Source organism: Homo sapiens, chromosome 8, assembly GCF_000001405.40.
Source record: "Homo sapiens chromosome 8, GRCh38.p14 Primary Assembly".
Taxonomy (NCBI): domain Eukaryota; kingdom Metazoa; phylum Chordata; class Mammalia; order Primates; family Hominidae; genus Homo; species Homo sapiens.
Window position 1 is genome coordinate 138,188,785 of NC_000008.11, and position 23,533 is coordinate 138,212,317.

Below are 23,533 nucleotides of genomic sequence, written 5' to 3' on the forward strand. Positions count from 1 at the left end.
GAGGCTCCGTATTCTCTCCAGGCTTGGCTGCAACCTAGCCTCCTCTCTCAGGTCCACTGGAGTCAGCCTTTTCCTGGGTAGACTTAGTGACACATCAACCTGGGATCCCTCTACCACATACTGACAGGGACAGGAGACAGGAAAATTCTGGGCAGAAGAGGGAAGGTCCTGGCAAGGGCCCCACCCTCAGTCCTGGAACTGCTGCCCAAAGTAAGAACATGCATTTCTGTTTTCCTGCTTGAATGTTGCCTTATTCAAAACCATCCATGGCCTGCCCCACCCCCCATCCTATGCCCATAAAAACCAACAGGCTATACCAACAGAGAGAGGAGAAGAGGAGAAGCAGCTGGATGCCTCCCCAGAGACTATGGTTGCACGCTGGAGAGAAGCAGCTTGACTTCAGAAGGATGGCTTGACAGCGTTGCTTCGCAGAGGCATCTGGCTGGGGATGGCCAAACCCTGAGGGAAGATTATCTTCCCGCTCCATGCCCTTTCCAGCTCCCCTTCCCACTGAGAGCCACTTTCATCAGCAATGCAAGCCTCCGCATTCACCACTCTTCAATTCATTCACCATCCTTCAATCACTTCAACCTCATTTTTCCTGGATGCCAAACAAGAGCTCGCGTACCACAGGTGTGGATGCAAAAGGCTGTTTTACCGTCTGCCCTCATTGGCGGAAAGCAACCACCTCATGCGAAAAAGTGTTAACTGAGCTGTTAACACTTAAGCCATCCGCACATGGCAAAGCTAAAAGAGCACTGACTGTAACACTCCTTCTGGGACTTTGGGGGTCATGGGTACTCCCCTCTAGATGCTGCTGTGAGGCCCACATGGACTTTTGCCCCTCTGAGCATCCCAAAGTACTCACCCCAGCTCCTGTACCTGCTCACCTCCTGTGAGGGGTTGAGCTCAATGGGTTTGAGTGAGTGGAGTTTGCCCCTGCTGGTGCAGAAGCAGCCAGCTAGCTCCAGTGCCTACGCTCCAGTTCCTGCCCACGAAGGGGTTAGGGAAAATTTCCTGCTTCAATACGGTACCTGTATCCATTGTGGAGTCCTAATAAGATAAGTCAGCAACAACAAGGAAGGGGTCCCAGATGCGGGAGAACAATTGTTTTGAGACATGGCTAATCACAGACAACCTGCTGGCACAACATCTTTTCCCAAATACCTTGTTCTGCATATAGCCCCAGCAGCACAACCTTATCTGCATGGAGCCCTTCCAGCATGGCCCTTTTAAACTTCCCTCCAGTCTCTGACTCTTTGCAGACAGCCCCTCGTCTGCTCCGCTGCCTGTGGTACCCTTGCAACTTATCTTCATACCTTCGTACTTTAATAAACCTGCCTTTCTTTACCTATGACTGTCTTGGTAAATTCTCTTAGCACCTGCAATGCCAGCCCCAGCCAATTACACCTGCAATGGCCACATCCACAACCCTCACCACTGTAGATCAAAAATAAAATTCTAAGCCCCCAAACTTACTGAATGAACCCCTCCTCTTGGTCAGGGGCATTCAGATGCAAACCTGAAGCACTAGTCAGGCCATGATAGGAATGGTTGGCTGGACATGCCTCAGTATACCTTCCTCCCTTTGGAATTCAGGCACAGCTGACCAGCAAATTATAATGTTAAAACAGAGGGCTTAAGACTGACAAAACAGACTCCTTGTAGCAAGAAAATACCAACACAACAGACAGCAGGCCCTTGAAAGAAACTGAAGTATTTTACCCTAAGATATAGTTATTTAACATATTTTGGAAGAACCCTGCAAAGCTGCGTCTTTAAGCGAAAATCTACATTGTATAGAGAATCTCCTTCCCTTTATGTTTTTGTTGTAGTTGTTGTTGTTTTTCTGATGTGGAAGAGAATTAACTAAGAGTCTGGCACCTTTTTAAGTCTTACAAGAAACATTTACCATCTATTCTCTCTGAAGCCTGCTATCTAAAGACCTTCATCTGCGTAATAAGAACTTGGTCTTCACCACCCCTTATCTTAACCCAGACTCCCTTGTATTGATTCCAGGTCTTTAGATAACCTCTTTCAACCTATTGCCAATCAGAAAATCTTTGAATCTACCTATGATCTGGAAGCCTTGCTCCCCCAGCTTTGAGTTGCCCCACCTTTTTGGACCAAACCAATGCAGATCTTACATGTACTGACTGATGTCTTATGTCTCCCTAAACTGCAAAAAACCAAGCTATAGCCTGACCACCTTGGGCACGTGTTCTCAGGATCTTCTGGGGCTGTGTCATGAGCCATGGTCACTCATATTTGGCTCAGAATAAATCTCCTCTAATATTTTATGGAGTTTGACTCTCTTCATCAACACCAGGCCCATGGAATAGGAGAACAATGTCAAGGACAGCAGTGACACTGGTGGCGGCATTTTGCCCCAAGCTCTGTTCTGAGCACTGTGCACCTGTGACCCCACTTCATTCTCCTATGGCCTGCCCAATGCTGGACAGCCAGCTGGCTGATTCAGGACTGTGCCCTGCAGTCTGGGCAGAAGCCTTCACCCACTACTTTTGAGGTGACACATAACGCAGGACAATACCACACACTGGTCCATTGGATCAGTAAATGAACATATTGAGTCCAAGCTCCTTTTGTAGATGGGCCAATAGCCTCAAGGGTATGACATTAGTGGCTCCAGGGTCAGTCATTTCCTCACCTTTTCTACTGTCCATCCATTCATTCTAGCATTTATTCGGAGCTTCTAGGTGCCAGGAGCCCTTCTAAGCAGTAGAAGTTCCAGAGTGAACAAATCACCTCCCTAGGCTATGTGCTGCATGAGCAAGGGGTCACCACTGAGTCCCCATGGTTGAGACCTGAAGAACACCGGATCTGGGAAGCACTGGGGGCTTGGGAAATGTTTGTGAAATTAATAAAAATTCTCATGGGCCAAAAGATGAATGGCAGTCGTTCCCAGGAAAACGTTGATCCTTTTTGCCACGAAGACAAAAGGAACCTGGACATTTAACCATATTCCCTGCCAAAGGCATGAGTATCACCAAACTCTACTTTATGACCACAAAAAATGACAAGCCAAAGCCCCCATCATTTGATAAATACTTGCACCAGACATGATGGTTTGCATTTTCTGCATTTACTGCACAGGGCCAGACCTCATGGACTTCATCTCTATTCCCTGCACCGATGCTGCCTCCTGGGCTTGCATCACACTGGGGAGGGCTCAGCGTCACAGGGACCAGCAGCCTCACCCTGTTCTGCTTGCCGGCACTGTGGCTTTAGTCAGGGTGTGAGTCAAGCCCTGTTTCTTCGTCCACTGAACAGAATGTGATGGCTTATCTTATAGAATTGTTTTATCAATTGCATGAGAAAATCCACACAATGTAGCCAGGCAACTAGCCAATGTGCCAGCTTACTGGCTAAGAGAAAAAGGCATCAATGAAACCACCATTGCAAAATTATAACTGAGATGGTGAAAGAGACCTGAACTAACCACTTCCTTCTTGATTCTAACCTCCAAGCTGTCCTTGTTCATTCCTGGGCATAGGCCATACTACCTTTAGGAGGAACTTGCTTTACAGTTTGAAACAAAGATAGCAGCGCTTTCCCAACACAAACCCCCTTCTTGCCTGGTGAACTAGACTGCCTTTGTAAGACTATCAAATTAGCCAAAATCTTCGAAATGATGGCTTAGGAGTCATGCAGCTGGAGGCTACAAGATTCTGACCCTCCTCAAATTGCTTCTGTGGAATAATATCACTATTGTAAAACCTAAGATCAGTGCTCGAGATATTTGCAGACCCTGCACTTGACGGATCAGTTGGTATCACCCAGATTGATAAACTCGCTCATCTGGTCTTGTGGCCCTCACCCAGGAACAGACTCAGCGCAAGAGGACAGTTGGACTCATCGCCAACCCAACCAATCAGCACTCCTGACTCACTGGCCCCTACTCAGCAAATTATTCTTAAAAACTCAGATCCCCAAATGCCTGGGGAGACTGATTTGAGTAACAATAAAACTCAGGGCTTCTGTACAGCTGGCTCTGCATGAATTACTCTTTCTCTATTGCTATCCCCGTCTTGCTAAATGAGCTCTGTCTAGGCAGTGGGTAAAATGAACCCATTGGGTGGTTGTATCGGTGAAAACAGATTCATTTTTATCCCCATTTACAGATAAGAACATCGAGGTTCATAAAGATTAAGCAACTTGCCTAAAGTCACACAGTGAGTAGGTAGAGAATTCAAAGCCATGTCTCCCTGGCTCCGACGTGCATAATCTTTGCAATACAGGATTCTCCATCACTACCACCCACTAGCCACCACCCACCACCACGTGACGTATAAGGAGAAAACAGGCAGTGGTCCCTGCCTGCCCTCACGACCGCACAGCTGGGGCTCTGGAGGCAGAAGGCCTGCTGCATGTGAGCACCGATTCCTCCCACCACTTACCAGATGACTTTGGACAAATGCTTTGGTAATGGTGAAATCTCAGGGGCTATAGAAAGATTAAAGGGGATTATACTGACAAGCACTTAGAACTGTGCCAGGCTGAGAATCCCTGCTGATTAAATATAAGTCGGTGATGCTGGTGCTATGGTGATCCCGGACTAGGGAAGAGAGACTCCTGGAAACCTGAACATAACAGGCACAGAAAACAACACGGAGAACCTGCAGGCCACACCCAGAAGGAAAGAGAGTGGGCGTATTGACAAATAGTCACGAATCAGCTCTTCAGCCTGATCTCGTGATGGGAAATGGAAAAGCCGAGTTGGAAAGCTGCCTGTTCCTGTGTTCCTTGTTGTTGTTTCAATTGCTAAAACTAAATTTCTGATAATTTACAGAGTAAAGCAGTTTCCCCTTGGGATGCTGAGCTGCACCTCCACAGGTACGTGGCTCCGGCCAGGCCCTCAGGGGATGGAGCCTGAGGCAGCCCGAGCCAGCCCTGGAAGGAGAGGCCATCTCACCAGAGAAGAGCAGACCCCATGAGCAGAGCACTTAGGAGGGTCCTTGCGTGAGCTCTCTAGCGGTCCCCTCAGAACAAACCTACTATGTAGATGAGGAATCCCAGGCCCCAGAGGGTGAGCCCATTGTCTCAGGTCCCACAGCTGCTCCAAGGAGAAGCTCAGAGCCTGGATTTAAACCCACGCCAGCATGGCTTTGACGCTTCTGGCCCCTGCCTAACACAGTGGCTGCCTTGAGGCTCACTCGGGGAAGGATGAGAGCTGTAGCCATCTAGAGCCCAGGGCCTCCTGTCTACCCAGCTGCCCGCTCATCCACACACCGTCAATGCTGCAGCAGAGTCGGAGCATATGAGCCCCCAAGTGTGGACATTAGGCCTTTGACTCGTCTCAGTGGCCTTTACACACTCTCTAAATGGACTCCTGTGTTGCCCTCCTACAGTCTGCTGGCCCTGCATTTTTGATAATCAGTGCTTGGCATGTGTTTCCCTGTTATCGCTACAAGCCAAGTCCCACCCCTTCTCCCAGGCTGCCGTCCAACAGCCCCTCCCCAAAGGCCCTCCAGCTCTAGGCTCCCAACACCCTCCTCTGTCTCTGCCTCCGCATTCCGCCCTCTCCAGGGATCTCCTCTGCATTCACTGTGAGACTGGATTTTACTAACTTTGTAACATGCCCTAAAGCAGGGGTGCTCAACCCTGGCTGCACATAATATTCATCTGGGGAGCTTTGAATAAAAACACAGTATCTGAACTCCAATCCCAGATACTCTGTTTCAGCCAGTTTGTATGCCCAGGCTCAGGCAAAGATGCATCATTAAAGTTCCAAGGATGATTCTAATGTACAGACAAAGTTGAGAAACACTGGTTTAACAGACAGAGGTGTCAGTTTGGGGGATGAGACTTTGAGTCCTGCTTCTAGTACTGATTAGCTGTGTTAGTCACCCTGGTATAGACTTCTTTCCAATCTTGATTTGCCTCTTCTTCATAGAGAAATAAGAGTACCCACCCAGATATCTAACACAAGGGGGATGTAAAAGTGTTCCAGAGATTGTAAATAGCAGCAGCATGCATTTGTCAAATATTTATTCAGCCTTTACTCTTAATGCACGCTTGATGAGGCTTTGTTGGCAAATGCATGTGACTGTTTTCATGATCATCACTGACTCTAGCCTCCCTGCCATGTCTGAGGCCATCTGTGCACAGGTACAAGATTCTGTCATCCACAGTGAGAAGCACTGAGTTAACCAGTCAACAAACGTTTGTTCAATGGATGGGTAATGGACAAATACATATGTGTAGCCTAAGCTTCGGGGAAACAAAAATCTGTTAACATGTTTAGTTTTTCCAAAATATCTAGCAAGGCACATACTTATAGAACACAGTGATGTAGGGTAACAGAATGTAAGAATATTTCTCCAGCTTGGTATCTAGAGTGAAGTTACAAGTGGTGTCTTTTCACTTCTGTTTTTTACAGCAAGCAAGCAACTGCATTTGCCTTGCAAAACTACTGCCATTCATTCAGACCCCAGCGCCAGTTCTCCAATTACCTGTAGCTCTGAGCACAGCTGAGAAAGTGTTTCTTCAACAGCAAGGGCCTCTAGAAAGAAAAAATAAACTGTGTGATTAAATGAACCCACACTGAAATGCAGCAGTTGCTAATTAAATGAAAAAGCAAAAGTTTCACATTGGCATTAACGTCACAGAGACAAACACATTGCTGAGGACCTTCTACCTATTCTAACTTCCTAAAGGGACTGTGCTTATCAGGAGAATGAACCTGATTGGAGCCATGGACTGGACTGAGCACTAGATAAAAGCCAATATCACCTCATGCACACGGTTATGAGAAGCAGTACATCCCAAATTCATACAGCACTTTGTGTGGCCCAGAGAGATTCCACGTTTATTTCTGTTTTTGCAGGTACACACACACACACACACACACACAAACACACACACACACAGGTATACATCTGTGCATCATATATGGAAGATGGATTTGAATCTCTATCTTACAGATAAAATATCAGAAGCCCTGAGAACCTCCTGCTCAGCTCCACCAGCTCTGATACTGAAGAATGTGGCCATCTTATCAGCAGAAACCAGGTGGCCTCTGGCTATTTGTTTTAATGGTCACAGTTGTGACTGGGTTTGAACTTTCCTCTGGTTCCATGATGCTGTGGTCAGTCATTTGCACACGGCTCTGGCATGGATTTTAATTAAAGCATGCTTGCCTAGCTGAGTGGAAACAATCCCTTAGCAGCTTACGGTCCTTGCTGATGACCTAATTAGTAGACACCTCTCTACTTCACCGCTGACCTCAGGTCCCTGAACCCCGCAAGGCAAAATGAACTATTGATACATTAGTCACGGCTATGTATCCTCAGTGTCTAGCACAATATCTGACACATAGTACATGTCCAGTAAAATATGATGAGGGTGTGAATGAACAAATAAATTCAGCTCCTTTGGATAAAATATAATATAAAAAGTTGTATCAGGAATCCAACTGCTACTGAAAAATCTCCATTTTTCATTTGAGCTATATAAAGTCACTCTGATTCTGTGCAGGTCATTCCTGCATGCATAAGATTTGAACTTGAAAAAATTCAGTGATTGCATGATTCAAAGAGTAGTGCCTGAGTACAGGATTTGTATATGATGTGAGAGCTGACAAAGCTTATAGTAAGAAGGCTCCAGATTCAATTCAACAACTATAACCCTGTACCTACTCCTTTACTCTACATACCGGAGAGAGTGTGGCAGGGATCTGAGGGGAATCAGCTCTTAAAGACCTCAGTCTATTTGGGAAGCAAAACATGCAAATAAATTTTTTACGTGATGATTTCAGTGCAGCAATGAACAATGAACAAGGCCATTGACCCAGTCAAAACCACAGTTATCTCAGCAGTTGAGGTCTAGGGGTACATATAGGGAAGTCAATGTACCCAGCAGGGTTCTAATGTTGAAATGGGTGTTATCGTTGAAAAGCAAGCTGGGGACTTCGCCTCTGTTCTAGAGTCAATGAGGCCTTATTAGAGAACTTTGAGCAGAGCCAGAACATATCACCTATTTTTACTGAGTGGGACATGACACAAAGGACCCTGCCCCAAGGCATCAGCACAGGATCCCTGAGCTGTCATGGTTCTGCCACACATTACTGTGTGATGCTGAGCAACGCTTTTACCTCTCTGAGCTTCAGGTCCATCGTCTGTCAATCAACAGAGATTCAAGCCCACTGATTTCCATGATGTCTCATCTTTGGAAAATCCATGTGCAAAAATCAACTGATCCCCAGATAACCAAATGTAATGGATACTAAGAAGTTTCTATAATCATCCAGCTCAAGCATATATGTATGCATATGTGTGTGTGTGTGTGTGTGTGTGTGTGTGTGTGTGTGTGTGTATATATATAGTTTTTATGAGGATTGTTTTACACTCTTGTAAGTTACAATTCCATAATTACAGCTTAATTAAGAAAAGGCTATAAACCAGCATTTTCCTCTAGAAAGCAACCTAAAATTATGCAGTGGAGTGGCAGGTGTGTAATAGGTACTCAATAGATGTCTGGCAGATGAATGCATGAGTGAATGAATGTGCCTTGAGGAACATGTGTCTTCTCTTACTGCATTTGCATTTCCCAGATCCTCTCCTGGTAGAATAATAAAAATCACAGCCCAAACCTACCTGGACCAGGGTTATTCCTGTGACATTTACAAAAGCATGCCAGCTTTTCCCCATCCCTTGTGTGGAGGAGGCACATGAGCTGCTGGGATGGGCTTGCCCCTGTCCTGGGCCCTTACCCAGCTCCGTGTGTGGCAGCTCTGGGATGTCCCGCATGATCACCAGGAAGTGGAGACGGAGACCCCGGTAAGCGTGGAGGAGCAACAGGCACAGGTCTCGGTGCCACTTGTGTGCGTGCTGCATGCAGTTCTCAGAGGTGATGTAGAAGCTTCCCTAAGGGGTGAAACAGAAACAGAGGCTGAGGAATATTGCACCTGGCCCAGGCAGCACAGGGCTGTGATGCTCCATCCACCCGCACCAACATTCACAAAATGTTTGGAGGTTCAGGGAAGGAAGCAGACCCCATCCTGAGTAAAACTGGAACATGGTTGAAGATTCCAGGAAAAAGAGAGTCCTGAGCTGGAATTGCTTCTTTATCCCTCCAGGCAAGACAACACTGAAATCTGCCACACCTTTGTCTTATATTCAAATTAAAATAATAAAATAGCAACAATAATAACGAATGATCATGAAGGTGATGAGGACATTGGCCTCACAGGTTTGAGACAATCGAGTGGCCCCACTTACAAGCTGATATGGTTTGGCTCTGTGTTCCCACCCAAGTCTCACCTTGAATTGTAATAATCTCCACATGTCATGGGAGGGACCCAGTGGGAGGTAATTGAATCACGGGGGCGGGGTTTTTCCATGCTGTTCTCATGATAGTGAATAAGTCTTATGAGATCTGATGGTTTTATAAAGGGCAGTTCCCCTGCACATGCTCTCTTGCCTGCCACCATGTAAGACATGACTTTGCTCATCCTTCACCTTCTACCATGATTGTGAAGGCTCCCTAGCCATGTGGAACTGTGAGTCCATTAAACCTCTTTCCTTTATAAATTACCCAGCCTTGGGTATGTCTTTATTAGCAGCCTGAGAATGGACTAATACACAAACCTTCTTTCCCCACTACTGCAGGGTGCACTATAGAGGCCATGGGACAGGTGGCTGTGGGCTCCTTTGCAGAGAGAAGAAATTTAGAAAGACCCTTGTAGCAGGTGGGTGAGCAGTAGGTCGTGCTGAAAAGGAGGAAAAGAAAGTGTCATCGTAATGTAGAAAGAAGTTGTGAGGTTAAGTAACCAATGCTGAAAGCACACCTGTAAACAGCTCTGCATGTGAGCATGCAGTGTCAGAACACTGTACATTATATTTTGTTTGTAGAAATAGAATGGATTAAACTGGTACAATTACAAAGTAATTTGTCCAATGAGGAAAAGACACCTAAGTCTACAGTGCACTTGGAGACCTAGGCATGATGAAAAGGAAGGAACAGGACAGTTTTTTTCTTGCCAACTCAACAGAGAAGGATGTCCTGAGGTGAATTTCAAAGAGATTTGTTCTTAGAGCAGAGAAAGGAATCGTGTGGGAAAAGGCCTGGGCACAGAGATGGGAGTCCTTGAGTAGTATGCTCGTGCCCATCTACTGTTCACATGGCCGTGACGGGAGGAGGCCGTGGCTCTTCATGTTCCCAGGCCACCTTGTCTGCCTGCTGGAAGAAACGCCAGGTGAGGAATTGGTGGCATTTCACCCTTGGCTTTTGCGAGTGAGTCTGCACAGCCAATGACTGGAGATCCTTCTGCCTTGCTTGGTCTCCTTTCTCCTAGCTGCCATCCAAGAGGGCTGAGTTGATCCAATGTGGGTGGGCAAGTCTCCTGGAGTCGACACACGTCTGTACATCATCTGCACTCCCAAGGGTGTTGTATAGGCAGATAATGACGGGCACTATTATACCCTCTCTAACCACCGTACCACAATGATTGTCATGTGTGATGCAGGGTGCTACCAATTTGAAAACTTGGATAGAAGTCTCAGGCCTGCTGCCATATACCTCTGAGACTGTCTTAGGTGAGAGACTATGAGAAACCAGGAGAGGGTCACTGGGTTGTGCTCTCAGGAGCAATATCTGTGCAGCTGTAAAGCAGGATGGGTGGAGGAACTGCATTGCATTGTCCTGCAGGTACAACGGAGACCTCAGCTGATGCCATGGGGAGTGCTGGGCCTGCAGAGTTACCCGGCCTTGGGGCAAGGACCAGGTCTCTGTACCCATTCACTGGTCAGTACTTGGTGTGGGTTACCCTATGTATTAGTTCGTTTTCACAGTGCTATAAAGAAATACGTGAGACTGGGTAATTTATAAAGGAAAGGCGTTTAATTGACTCACAGGTCTCCATAGCTGGGGAGGCCTCAGGAAACTTACAGTCATGAAGGAAGGGGAAGCAGGCACATATTACATGGCATGAGGAGAGAGAAATGCAAAGAAGGAACTTCCAAACACTTCTAAAACCATAAGATCTCATGAGAACTCACTATCATGAGAACAGCAGAGGGGGAAACTGCCCCAATGATCCAATCACCTCCTCCCTCGACATGTGGGGATTACAGGTTCTTCCCTTGACACATGGGGATTACAGTTCGAGATCAGATGTGGGTTGGGACACAGAGCCAAACCCTATCACCCTAGCAGGGAAGTGTAACCTTGCGGGAGCAGCTCTCTCCAGACAGGGCAGTCTCCATACTTAGCCAATTGCTGTGGACCACCAACATTCCCAGTAGTGTGAGGAATGAATGGCTCAGGTCTGAAGGTAGGGCTGGACATCACACCACAGAGTACAGGGAAGAGACCCTCTGTAGAACTTTACCCTCCATGGCTTGCATTTCTCAGCTCTGAAGTCTGGCCTTGGATTAAAAGCTTGTCAAATTCTTTCTGATTTGAACTTAAGACATTCAGCAACGTTTGAAATCAGAAGACTTGTCCATTTTGGAACCAGAAAACTCAACCAACTGCCCTGTCTGTGCTCACCAGGCATTCAGGGTAACCCATATATTCACATTTCTACAACTTTCCTATTATATTAAGGTTTAATACAGAGAAGCCAGTATGGCTGTAGAAAGTCTAGGAGGGCTTGTATGCAGCACGGAGCACATCAGACCAGTTAGATCTGTGGAGCAGGAAGGAAGCCACTGCTTAATGAAGCATCTAGATAGTCCTATTGTACTTTATCTCTTTTGATCTTCAGCAAGTACCATGAAAGGCCGATACTCTTATTTTGATTTTCAAAATAGAATATAAATACGGTGAAACAAACAAAACCCCATCAATATCATCAAAGTAAACACAACATGAAGTGTCCCATTCCCCCCAGCCTAATAATTTTTTTCTTGTAGATTCTTCTGGAATACTACCCATCTATGCTTTTGTATATGTATACACGCTTGCTATATGTGTGTATGTCTTGAAAACATGCACTGACACACTTATAAGTTGGAGAATGCTCTGGACATTTCTCTGTTCCTTGCTTTTATCACCAAATATTGGAATTCTTTCTGATTAGATCAAACAATAATAATAGAAATTCTTATTTCCATTTCATAGATCAAAAGACTATGGCTCAAAGAACTGAGTGACATGTGCAAGGTCACTCTGCTTGCCAGCAGCAGAAATTTTGTTTCTCAGGATTCAGGGCTGATGCGAGCTTGTCCTTTCTCAGCATGCCACACCTGCCTCTGAAACCAGGCCTGGCAGAGAGCACATGCTAGACAAAGCTCCGCTTGCTTTGACTGAGGCATTCAAGTCCTGCAGTGTCTCTGACAGCTGTGACTAAGCAGAAATGAAAGCAGAAAGGGGATTAACAAAGGCACCAAATACAGTAGTCATGAATCCCCAGCTGACTTCAAGCGGTCCTTAGAATCCCATTTTCAGGTCCCGCTACCTGCCACTGTCTCACCACCTTGGTCTCATTCTGCAAAGCTTCAGGACACATTAAAGGTAGCAAGGAATCTATGAAGTCTCTTATCAAGTTTGACTTTTAAAACTAGATGCCAATGTCATAGAGATTTTTCAAGGGACACTTTAAGAAAACTTTGGGGAATCGTCGCAAGGCTGATTCAGCATGATTATTGAAATAATAATAAGTCAAAATGCTAATCCAAAGAGAAATCCTGAAAAAAAAATATACGGCTAGAGAGTATTATAAACTAAACAAAACAAAAAAACTTCCATTCTTCATAAATTGCTCAGCAGCACGACTTTTTGAAGCTGTGCGATATACTGCAGAAAATCCCATTAGTCAGTCGGGCAGACCTGCAGAGTCGGTGTCAGAGTGGACGGGCCAGTGTGCCTCCATTAGAATTGCATGAAGAGCATTGAAAAACCCTGCGCCATTTTCCCTAGCACAAAGCAGTAACATTTTAGCAACACTCTTCAGCAATCTGAAATGAAACCCCTAAATAATAAAACGAGAATCAAGCAGGCAGGCAGATCATTACATTGTGAATGAACTGGCAAATAGAAGGTCCCTGGCCTGGGCCTACCCCACAACAGAAGCAGGACAAAAAATAGGCACCTCTCCACTGAGTGCAGTGGCTCAGGCCTGTAATCCCAGCACTTTGGGAGGCCGAGGCGGGCAGATCACAGGAGGTCGGGAGTTCGAGACCAGCCTTACCAACATGGAGAAACTCCCTCTCTGCTAAAAATGCAAAATTAGTCAGGCGTGGTGGCACATGCCTGTAATCCCAGCTACTCAGGAGGCTGAGGCAGGAGAATCGCTTGAACCTGAGAGGTGGAGGTTGCGGTGAGCAAAGATCACGCCATTGCACTCCAGCCTGGGCAACAAGAATGAAACTCTGTCTCAAAAAAAAAAAAAAAGGCACCTCTCCCCTTCTGAGACTGAAGTAAGTCCACTGCAAATGGGAAAATATTTGTATGGTTAAATATGGAGTCTGCAACAAGAGATACAGGGCAAACAGTCTGTTTTTTTTTTTTTGTTTTGCTTGAGATAAGGCCTTGCTTTGTTACCCAGGTTGGAGTACAGTGGCGCAATCATGGCTCATTGCAGCCTCGGCCTCCTAAGAGCAAGTGATCCTTCCACTCCAGTCTCCTGAGTAGCTGGGACTACAGGCATGCACCATCACACTTGGCTAATGTTTTAATTTTTTTGTAGAGATGAGGTTTCACGATGTTGCCCAGGCTGGTTTTGAACTTCTGGGTTTAAGTGATCCTCTCTCCTCAGCCTCTCAAAAGTAGTGGGATTCCAGGCATGAGCCATGCCCAATTAGTCTTCGTTTTTGCTTTCCCACTTACTACCAATGTCACCTTGGGGAGGTTTCTTCCCCTCCCCACACAGCAGGTGCATCACCTGAAAAGAGGGCACAGTCCTGAAATCAGCATCAGAGGGTTGCTATTAGGGATTAAATGAGATTATTCCAGCAAAATGCAGACTTATGTAATGCTCCAGTGTAAAGTCAGTGCACACTAAGAGGAACTTTTGCTTACACGCTCATTGATGGCCTCGGTGAACGTGTCTATGGATGGTGCAGCTTAAGATTCAACAGTGATCCACTCAGAAGCCTAAGAATGAATTTTAACTTAGTGGGGAACTCCGCAGGGACACAGTTTGGTTTGAAGGCAGAATCTGGAATCAAATAGGCCTGTACCTCACTCACGGATGGCTCCCTCACTAGCAGGTTGCCTGAGCTAGACCTTTAACATAGGAAGTGCCAGTTTCCTAATGAGGAAAGTCAGGATAAAGTTAGTTAAAATGCTTATGGAGTGCTTTGTTTACAGTTTAGTACTTGATAACTGTTAGATAAGATGTTTTACTTTCTAATTCCTTTATTTCCTAACAGAGTATATATACAAATCAGACATAGCTTAGCTTGTTATCAACTCTTTCCTTTATGCAAATGTCTCTCAAATCTATGTCTCTACATCTAATTCCTGCACTGGGCTCTAGATGTCTATTGTCTAAACTTCTGATTGGATGGCTTCCCAAGCTGTCACAAAACCATCTTACATGGAGCTCACTAGATCCTTCTTTTCCCTCTGGTCTTCCTGAATGGACCCCACTTTGCCCAACACCCAAGAACAAAACAGATTCTTCTAGATTCCAGACTTCGTTCTCACTTTGAGCACCTGTCAGAACGTCTTGATGGTTCTACCTCTCAAATTCTCTTATCTCTGCCCCAGGTTGAGCTGTCTCTATTGCTTACGTGAATTATTAAACATATCCATCTAACGTGTCTTGCTGTTCTGATCTTACCTTCCACCTGCCGCTCCTGTCTGTGCAAGTGGGTCATATCATCATCCACTGTTTGTAAGAGAAAGTTCGAATTCTTTTGTGTGCCATTCAAGGACTTTACACCTTAAAGCAGTAGTCCCCCTCCTTTTTGGCACCAGGGACTCGTTTCATGGAAGACAATTTTTCCATGAACCGAAGGTATGGGGGATGGTTTTGGGATGATTCAAGAGCATTACATTTATTGTACACTTTATTTCTATTATTATTACATTGTAATATACGATTCACCATAATGTAGAGTCAGTGATAGCCCTGAGCTTGTTTTTCTGGAACTAGATGGTCCCATCTGGGGGTGATGGGAGACAGTGACAGATCATCAGGTATTAGATTCTCATAAGGAATGGGCAACCTAGATCCCTCCCATGTACAGTTCACAACAGGGTTCATGCTCGAGAATCGAATGCCACCACTGACCTGACAGGATGTAGAGCTCAGGTGGTAATGTGAGTGATGGAGAGTGGCTGTAAATACACATGAAGCTTCACTGGCTCACCTGTCACTCACCTCCTACTATGCAGCCCAGTTCCTAACAGGCCACAGGCCAGTACCTGTCTGTGTCCCAGGTTTGGGGACTGCTGCCTTAATGCATCACATTTCCAGACTCACCTGCTATCTCTTGTTTTCCTCCAGAGCTTTAGTGGCACTTCTCTTTAGGGCCTATGCTCTTGCCGTTGGAAATGTCTTTCTGAATTAACCCTACACATCACCAAGATGCAGGTCAAATGTCACCTCCTCTGTGACTTTCTCCAATCATCCCCTCCTCATGCATACTTCATTAGACCAGTTCTTCCTGTACCTCTCATTCCAATACTCCCTGAACACTTTGGGAGTAAAAAGACATTTTTACTTTTTAGTTTTATTTTTCAGGTTGTCTTTGAAACTGAAACAATTGGCACCTAGATTTCACTGAATACACAGAGAAAGAGTGAATGAATGAATGAATGAGTGAGTCATAGCATCCTCTACAGGGCACTGCAATGGCACGACAGTGTAGACTTGATGTATAGAGGCCTGGCCTCAGGGTCCAGCTTACCCTCACCGCCTCCTACTTTGGAATCGTGGAACATTCACACAATTTTGGGATTTGGATTAGGATTTCCTAGATTACAATAATAATCATGCTATAGAAATTTATGTCCTATATAAATATACTTGTTTATGCTTTATATGGAATATGTATGTAACCTGATTTTAACTTTGCCTGGGATAAACACTGATAACTTTTCAACATGATTCAAACAGACCCATAAAAGCAAGACATATTTTTTAACCGAGAAATATCAATGCATTGTTTGTGTTACAATTATGGAAGAATGCATAAATGGAATTGGCTTCTAATATTCCAGAGGTTTATTGAAAAAAGAAATGTTAGGTTTAGCAGACTTCAAAATCTATAATGCTACTAACAGTCTAGTGTTCATGATATGTCTGCTGTGTGCCTGGTACTATTCTTAGTTCCTGGATTCCTCTTCTTGGTGATTCAGTGAGTTTTACATTATTATCCCATTTTCACTGATAAGAAAACAGTATCATCATAAAAAACAGCTAACACTTATTATTTGACTCTTAAATGTCAGGAATTAAGTGCTTTATGTGTATTAAGCATTTAATTCTCTTGCCAACTCTATGCAATGAGTCTGAGTACTCACACCCATTTTGGAGAGTGGAAAACTGAACCTTAAAAGGGTAAATAATGTTTGCAGGTCTCAATGGCAAGAAAGTGGCAGATCAAGAATCCAGACATGATGTGGTGCTGGAAGCCCCCAGACTTTTTCATCTCGATGCTGAACTTCCTCTTTGAACTGAGCTTCAGGCAGTTTAGATAGTTTGCCTGTGTTCACACATCCAGGAAACAGTCGAGTTGAACTTCTAACTCAGGCCAGGGTCCAGGTTTAAAAAGGAAACCAGCTTCATCAATTACAAAGAAAAGCAAAGCCTCTTGTGCCAGCTGTAGCTTTGCTGCTAACTAGCTGCAATCTGGGAAAATCACTTACCTTTCCGGCTCTTTAATACCTTCTCTGTCAGCCACAAATTGCTGAGCTTTTAGTCAGTAATACCTAAATTATGTGTCCCAGTACTCTGGATTGTGGTGACCAGCTTTGAGTTGAACTGCAAATATTTCTCACCAAAAATTTAAAATATAAAATTCAAAAATGACTTTTTCTATTAATACCATTGGAGTCAAAGGTACCAATGTTGTCTCCTCATTGACATTCCACAGAGTGTATCTGAGAATGAGAAAAAAGGAGCAGAAGCTGCTGGGCTGGAACTGAGGGGTGGGCCTAGGAGTGGGAAGGCAATTGAGAAACCTGGTCAAGGTCATGTTCTGACCCAGGTATCTGTTCCATTATGCATGTATGTACTTGCTGCCCTCCCCGTTCACACAGCTCCAGCAGCACCTCCACCTACACACAGCTCAGCATCACCTCGACCTATGCAAGACTCCAGCATCCCCTTCACATACACACAGCTCCAGCATCCCCGCCATCTATGCATAGTTCAGCATCCTCTCCACATACCCAGGGCTCCAGCATCACCTCCACCTACACACAGGCCAGCAGCACCTCCACCCACGCACAGTTCAGTATCACCTCCACCTCTGCAAGGCTCCAGCATCCCCTTCACTACCCACAGCTCTCTCATCCCCTCCACCTACACACAGCTCTCTCATCCCCTCCACCTACACACAGCTCTATCATCCCCTCCACCTACGCACAGCTCTATCATCCCCTCCACCTACCCACAGCTCTATCATCCCCTCCACCTACCCACAACTCCAGCATCCCCTCCACCTACCCACAACTCTATCATCCCCTCCACCTACACACAGCTCTATCGTCCCCTCCACCTACACACAGCTCTATCATCCCCTCCATCTACACACAACTCCAGCATCCCCTCCACCTACACACAGCTCTATCATCCCCTCGACCTACCCACAGCTCTATCATCCCCTCCATCTACACACAACTCCAGCATCCCCTCCACCTACACACAACTCTATCATCCCCTCTACCTACACACAACTCCAGCATCCCCTCCACCTACACACAACTCTATCATCCCCTCCACCTACACAGAACTCCAGCATCCCCTCCACCTACCCATAACTCTATCATCCCCTCCATCTACGCACAGCTCTATCATCCCCTCTACCTACACACAACTGTATCATCCCCTCCACCTACACACAATTCCAGCATCCCCTCCACCTACACACAACTCTATCATCCCCTCCACCTACACACAACTCCAGCATCCTCTCCACCTACACACAGCTCTATCATCCCCTCCACCTACCCACAGCTCTATCATCCCCTCCACCTACACACAACTTCAGCATCCCCTCCCCCTACCCACAACTCCAGCATCCCCTCCACCTACCCACAACTCCAGCATCCTCTCCACCTATGCATGGCTCCAGCATCAAAGGATCCTACAAGCGAGTGTTGAGTGATCACAGACACATCTATATGGCTCTGTCCACATGCGAAATAAACTCAGTTTTGTGTTCCTCTCCTTCTATAAATTTGTTGTATTACTGTGTCCCTCATGGAAATCAGGGAGAAAATATTGATCATCTTCTATTCTCAGCTACTTTTACATAGACGGCAATAACTCTGTGCAGTTGACTGAAACAATACTTTTTTTTTTTTTTTTTTTTGAGACTTGTCTCGCTTTGTTGCCCAGGCTGGAGCTCAGTGGTATAATTTCAGCCCACTGCAACCTCTGCCTCCTGGGTTCAAGTGTCCCAGCCTCCCAACTAGCTGGGATTACAGGCTCCCATCACCACACCAGGCTAATTTTTGTATTTTTTAGTAGAGATGGAGTTTCATCATGTTGGTCAGGCTGGTCTTGAACTCCCGACCTCAAATGATCTGCCCACCTTGGCCTCCCAAAATGCTGGGATTACAGGCATGAGTCACCGCGCCCCACCTGAAACAATACTTTAAGAAGATGAGGGTCTCTGTGAAGCTTGAGAGATGCCTTCAGCTTTCTGAAGGCTCCTGAGGGACAGTTCATTGCATAAGATCCCACAGAGTGGAGCTAGAGCCAATGGATGGATGTCATAGGAAGGCACATACTGTGGGTGAGAAGGCTAATTTTCCACTCTTAAAGTCTTTTCAACACGGAGGGACACCCATTAGCATAATAATCCTGGCCTTTCTCTGCCCATTTATTGGGCAAATGTTGAGTTTTGAATAAGAAACAGGTCTGCCTTGTTCTCCCTCAAAGGCGTCAATCTCCATCACTCTCGGCCCTGGGGTAGCCTGGTGAAGGAGGCATCCTGCAAGGGAGGCTGGTAGCTGATAGCACTGCCATACCAGGGTGGGTAAGTATTTAAATCCAGGGCTCACGACTCATGTATCTTTTTGCCCAAAGACATAAACAAAAATCTGCAATTTGTCCTATCCAATTGGTTCAGCACTCATTTGGGGAAAAGAAGGTATTGTTTTTCAGTGCTGCTTCACACCCAACTTCAGATTCCATCTCCTTGGATGATGAGGCCACTGAGGTTACCACCACTCCACTGTGGACAGACTGCCTCAGAAGCCTCCTATCACCCAGGGTGCTCAGGAATTGAGGTTGGGGGTGGCACACAGGAGAGTCCGTCAGTGCTGGGTAGAGGGTTCGAATAGGTCAGTGAGTGGTGTTCCCATTTCAACAAGTCTGTTTCGTTTATAGCAGTTTTATATGCTGGATTCTAAAAATTAAAAAAAGAAAAAGTTTGAAAATGATTAGACTAAATGAATACCTCTGGAAGTCTTAGCTATTCCATTGTGATCCAGAAGGCAGGTATGAATTATGTGGCTGAAAATCAGACCTCAGCAATCTTTTTGCTCATAGTTTTCATTTCTTATTCCTAAATATTGTTTTCTTTCCTCTCTGTTTCTAAGTGTTGTTTTATCAGCATTTTTAAAAAATATTCTTTCTGATCCCGTTTATTTCAAAATGATTGCAAGGTGATTTTTAAAAATATATTTTGTGAGGCAAAGAAACAGAGTCCCACAAAAACATCAGCAGATGTAGAATTAGAGGAAAGATCCAGGGTCAAGTCCAGGCTTTGCTCCTCCCTTTGGACAGAGACTTTGCTGCCCTCAGAGGGCAAGAGTGAGGATAAAGGGGAAAGAGTTCTTTGCCATCATAAAGCATGACAAACATTAGTCTTCTGATTATGATTATTATTGGTAGGAATTTCATATGAATCCTTCCACTGGTGTACTTAAGTGATATTTTATTTAGTAAACTAGTAAATTAGTCAATTCTTATATTGCCAAGAGATTTTGACCTATTCAGAACTTTTAAAAAAAAATCTCATTATTAGTTAGATAAGTTGATATATTGACTATGAATAATTCATAACCATCTTATAAATTACCTTAATACCTATGATACATGTTGCATGAATACATAAGTTGTTGTTATTAATCTGTTTGACTTTAGAGAACTATATTTTCATATTAGAAGCATTGTGGTTGGGTTTCTATATATTCCTCAGCAATCAATGGGGTCAGTCCCATTTATCATCATGATCCTAATTGCTGGGTTTTTTTGGTGGTTCCTGTGTGCCCATCACTGCGGTGAACACTTGAGGTCTAGAGGTTAATGAATACTGTCCTCACCTGGAGGAGAATATACCCAAAATGAAGAAATCTGGGTCACAAACACATAATTGCAGCACAATATGGTAAGTATGATACCAGAGGAAACCACAGGATGTAGAGAGTGTGACATAGGGCACACAGAGGCATTTAACACGTAGGGGTAGAAAAAGGCTTTCTGGACAGATGCTGCTGCAGTTGGATCTTGAAGGCATAGGTAGATACATAAGGAATAAGAGGAGGGCGTGACAAGCACAGAAGCCATCATAAACAAGGGCATAGAGTGAGTAAAATAACAAAGTGCAGGGAGACAGAATGTGGGCTGCCAGATGTGGGCTGCCAGAGTCCAGGAGAGAAGCAGGAGATGAAGCTCAATGGACAGACTGATTCAGGTCAGGTCATGGAGAGCCAGGCATAGCATGTTGATCAAGAATCAATTCCTAGGAAACTAGCAACATATTAGCTATGTCCAAACCATGTGATAGTGTGCCCTTCAGGGAGATACAGGGAGGCCTTTCTCTGTGACTCTGGCTTCTCACTGGCTCTGGTTTCTGGTCCCTCAAACCCTTAGGAAAGTTGTAATCATGGTATAAATTTTACATAAGTGGAATGGGCCCAGAGAGGTTAAGTCAATGGCCCCTAGTCCCACATTTGCTAAGATACAAATGTAGAATTCCAAAATAGCACAGCCTGGCTCAAAAGCCAAGCTCTTTATCCCACATGGGACTATTCTGAATTCACCAGAATTAAAGTCCCCAAATAGAAAGGTGGCTTCTCAACTGAGGGCAAGACAATGAGAAAAGAGATAATGAAAATAGCAAGAGTAAGAAGAAATGGCCATCAGATAAATAAGATTAATTATGTAGAGTGTGAAGGGTCAAGCAATGATTACTCCCATCTCTGAGAGGCTAGTCCAAGATCATCAAATTAGACATGTCTGCAGAATAAGTAAGCTATCAGTCTCAGTGCCTCTGGACATTGTGACCATTGTGTCTGTCTCTACTTTGAAAGTTACAGCGGTTCACTATGGTGCCTTAGAGATTTAAAATTTTATGCTTTTCTGATTTTAATTATACAAGGCATTAAATTCCTCCAGCTGACACTGGGGCAGGCACAGAGTCAGCAGCTATGAGTCTCTTATTGTGAGTTCTAAGATCTCTTGTATGAATTTGGTCTTTGTCTCTCCCCCTAGTATTCTTGATGGGTGTATTAGTTCGTTCTTGCATTGCTATAACAAACTCCCTGAGACTGGGTAATTTATGAAGAAAAGAGGTTTAATTGACTCAAAGTTTGGCAGGCTTAACAGGAAGCATGACTGGGGGGACTCAGGAAATTTACAATCATGGTGGAAGGTGAAGGGGAAGCAAGCACTTTCTTCACATCGTGGCAGAAGAGACAGAGAGAGTAAGGGAGGGAAGCACCACACACTTCTAAACCATCAAATCTTGTGAGAACTCACTATCATGAGAACAGCATGGGAGAAATCCATCCCCATGATCCAATCACTTCCCACCAGGTCCCTCCCCCTAACATTGGGAATTATAATTCGACATGAGATTTGGGTGCAGACACAGAGTCAAACGATATCAATAGGCTTTCTACATATGGTGCATTCTGTAGGGAATCCAGAAAGTGTATCAGAACAAACAAGCATAGGAAACATATTCTATGTTCTGATACCAAGCATACACACACCCATGTAGCCCCTCATAAACTTCCTTACCTGAGCCTCACAGGGCATTCAGAATCATATTCAGTGTGGGGTGGGGAAGCAGAAGTGGCCTTTCTGTCTCAAAATTGGACCATCAGTATGGGGCATGGCTGTGATTTGAATGAGGTGTACCTGATCCCAGAGCCATGCTCCTAATCACCACCAATTTTGCCATTCTATAAAAGATGCTCCGTGCTAATGTTAGCTCTCTCTTGGCTCCTGCAGAAAACAGATCAGGCTATTCTAAGGGATCACTAAACGACATGGGAGACCACTTAGTGGACCCTGTCATATAAGAATATTTAATTCTTTAGGAAAGCAGCTCAAAATAGGTCTGGTTTTTATTTAAATAACTACAGCAATCATAGAAACCAAAATAATAGTATTTGCATAATAAATCATCGTTTACCTGGGACTTTAAGATCAACTCTATAGGGTTTGTATTACTACTAGTCCCGTTCTACAGATGCACCGACAGAGGGGTGGATCTCTCAGACAGTGTCAAGAATCAACAGTTTCCTACAAAATCATTTATCAACATTAATAGCTCAAAAATAATCTGAGCAAATTTTCAGTAAAATTTGGATCATATCAACAACCATGTTACATTCAAATGTCATTGCATGGTTTTGGTAGCTGCATTTGCATAGGGTTTAAGATCAAGTTGTTAAACATATGGCCATGCTGAAGTGACAGTATTGATATTGCATTGCAACATTCTAAAATTGAGACTAGGGCATTTGACTTCTATTTAATGCTGCTCTGCACTTATTGACTGTTTGTTATCTGCTAGTACACTGCTGAATGCTGTGAACACCTTCTATATGGCTTATACCATGGATGTATATGCAGCACTTCTGCAATCATTTATTGCCTCCACTATAAAATAGCAATTATAAGTCTGGGCATGGTGGCTCACTCCTGTAATCCCAGCACTTTGGGAGGCTGAGGCAGGTGGATCACCCGAGGTCAGGAGTTGAAGACCAGCCTGGTCAACATGGTGAAACCTCGTCTCTACTAAAAATACAAAAATTAGCCAGGCGTAATGGTGCACACCTGTAATCTCAGCTACTCGGGAGGCTGAGGCAGGGCAATCACCTGAACCTGGGAGGTGGAGGTTGCAGTGAGCTGAGATGGAGCCACTGCACTCCACCCTTGGTGACAGAAAGACATTGTCTCAAATAAATAAATACAATAAAATAGCAATAATAATAGCAATTACCTATTAGCAACGTGGTGAGGAGCAACTAGGGCAGATAATGTAACCATGGTGCTTAAGGGAGAGTCTGACAAAGGATGGACACCTGGCACAAAATAGGTATTTGTGCTAAGAGTACATAGAAGACAGGTATGCAGCCCTCACTGCAGGTGTAGGGGGAGTGATGGTCATCAGGAAGAACTCTAAAGTAGAAAGAGGGATGCTTTAGAGGA

The 23,533-nt window shown here is 44.8% G+C and overlaps 1 protein-coding gene across 18 annotated transcripts in view; it reads right to left on the reverse strand.

The window, feature by feature from the left end:
- Positions 1-23,533, reverse strand: part of FAM135B (family with sequence similarity 135 member B) — a 367,708-nt gene that overhangs the window by 58,762 nt on the left and 285,413 nt on the right. For 16 of the 18 annotated variants that reach the window (NM_001362965.2, NM_015912.4, XM_011517062.2 and 13 more), the window contains 2 exons: positions 8,732-8,885; positions 6,474-6,523 (listed from right to left, as the gene is read on the reverse strand). In NM_001362965.2, coding sequence (NP_001349894.1) covers positions 6,474-6,523; positions 8,732-8,885 — 204 coding nt within the window. The other 2 variants (XM_011517073.3, XM_011517074.2) reach the window with 2 other exon arrangements.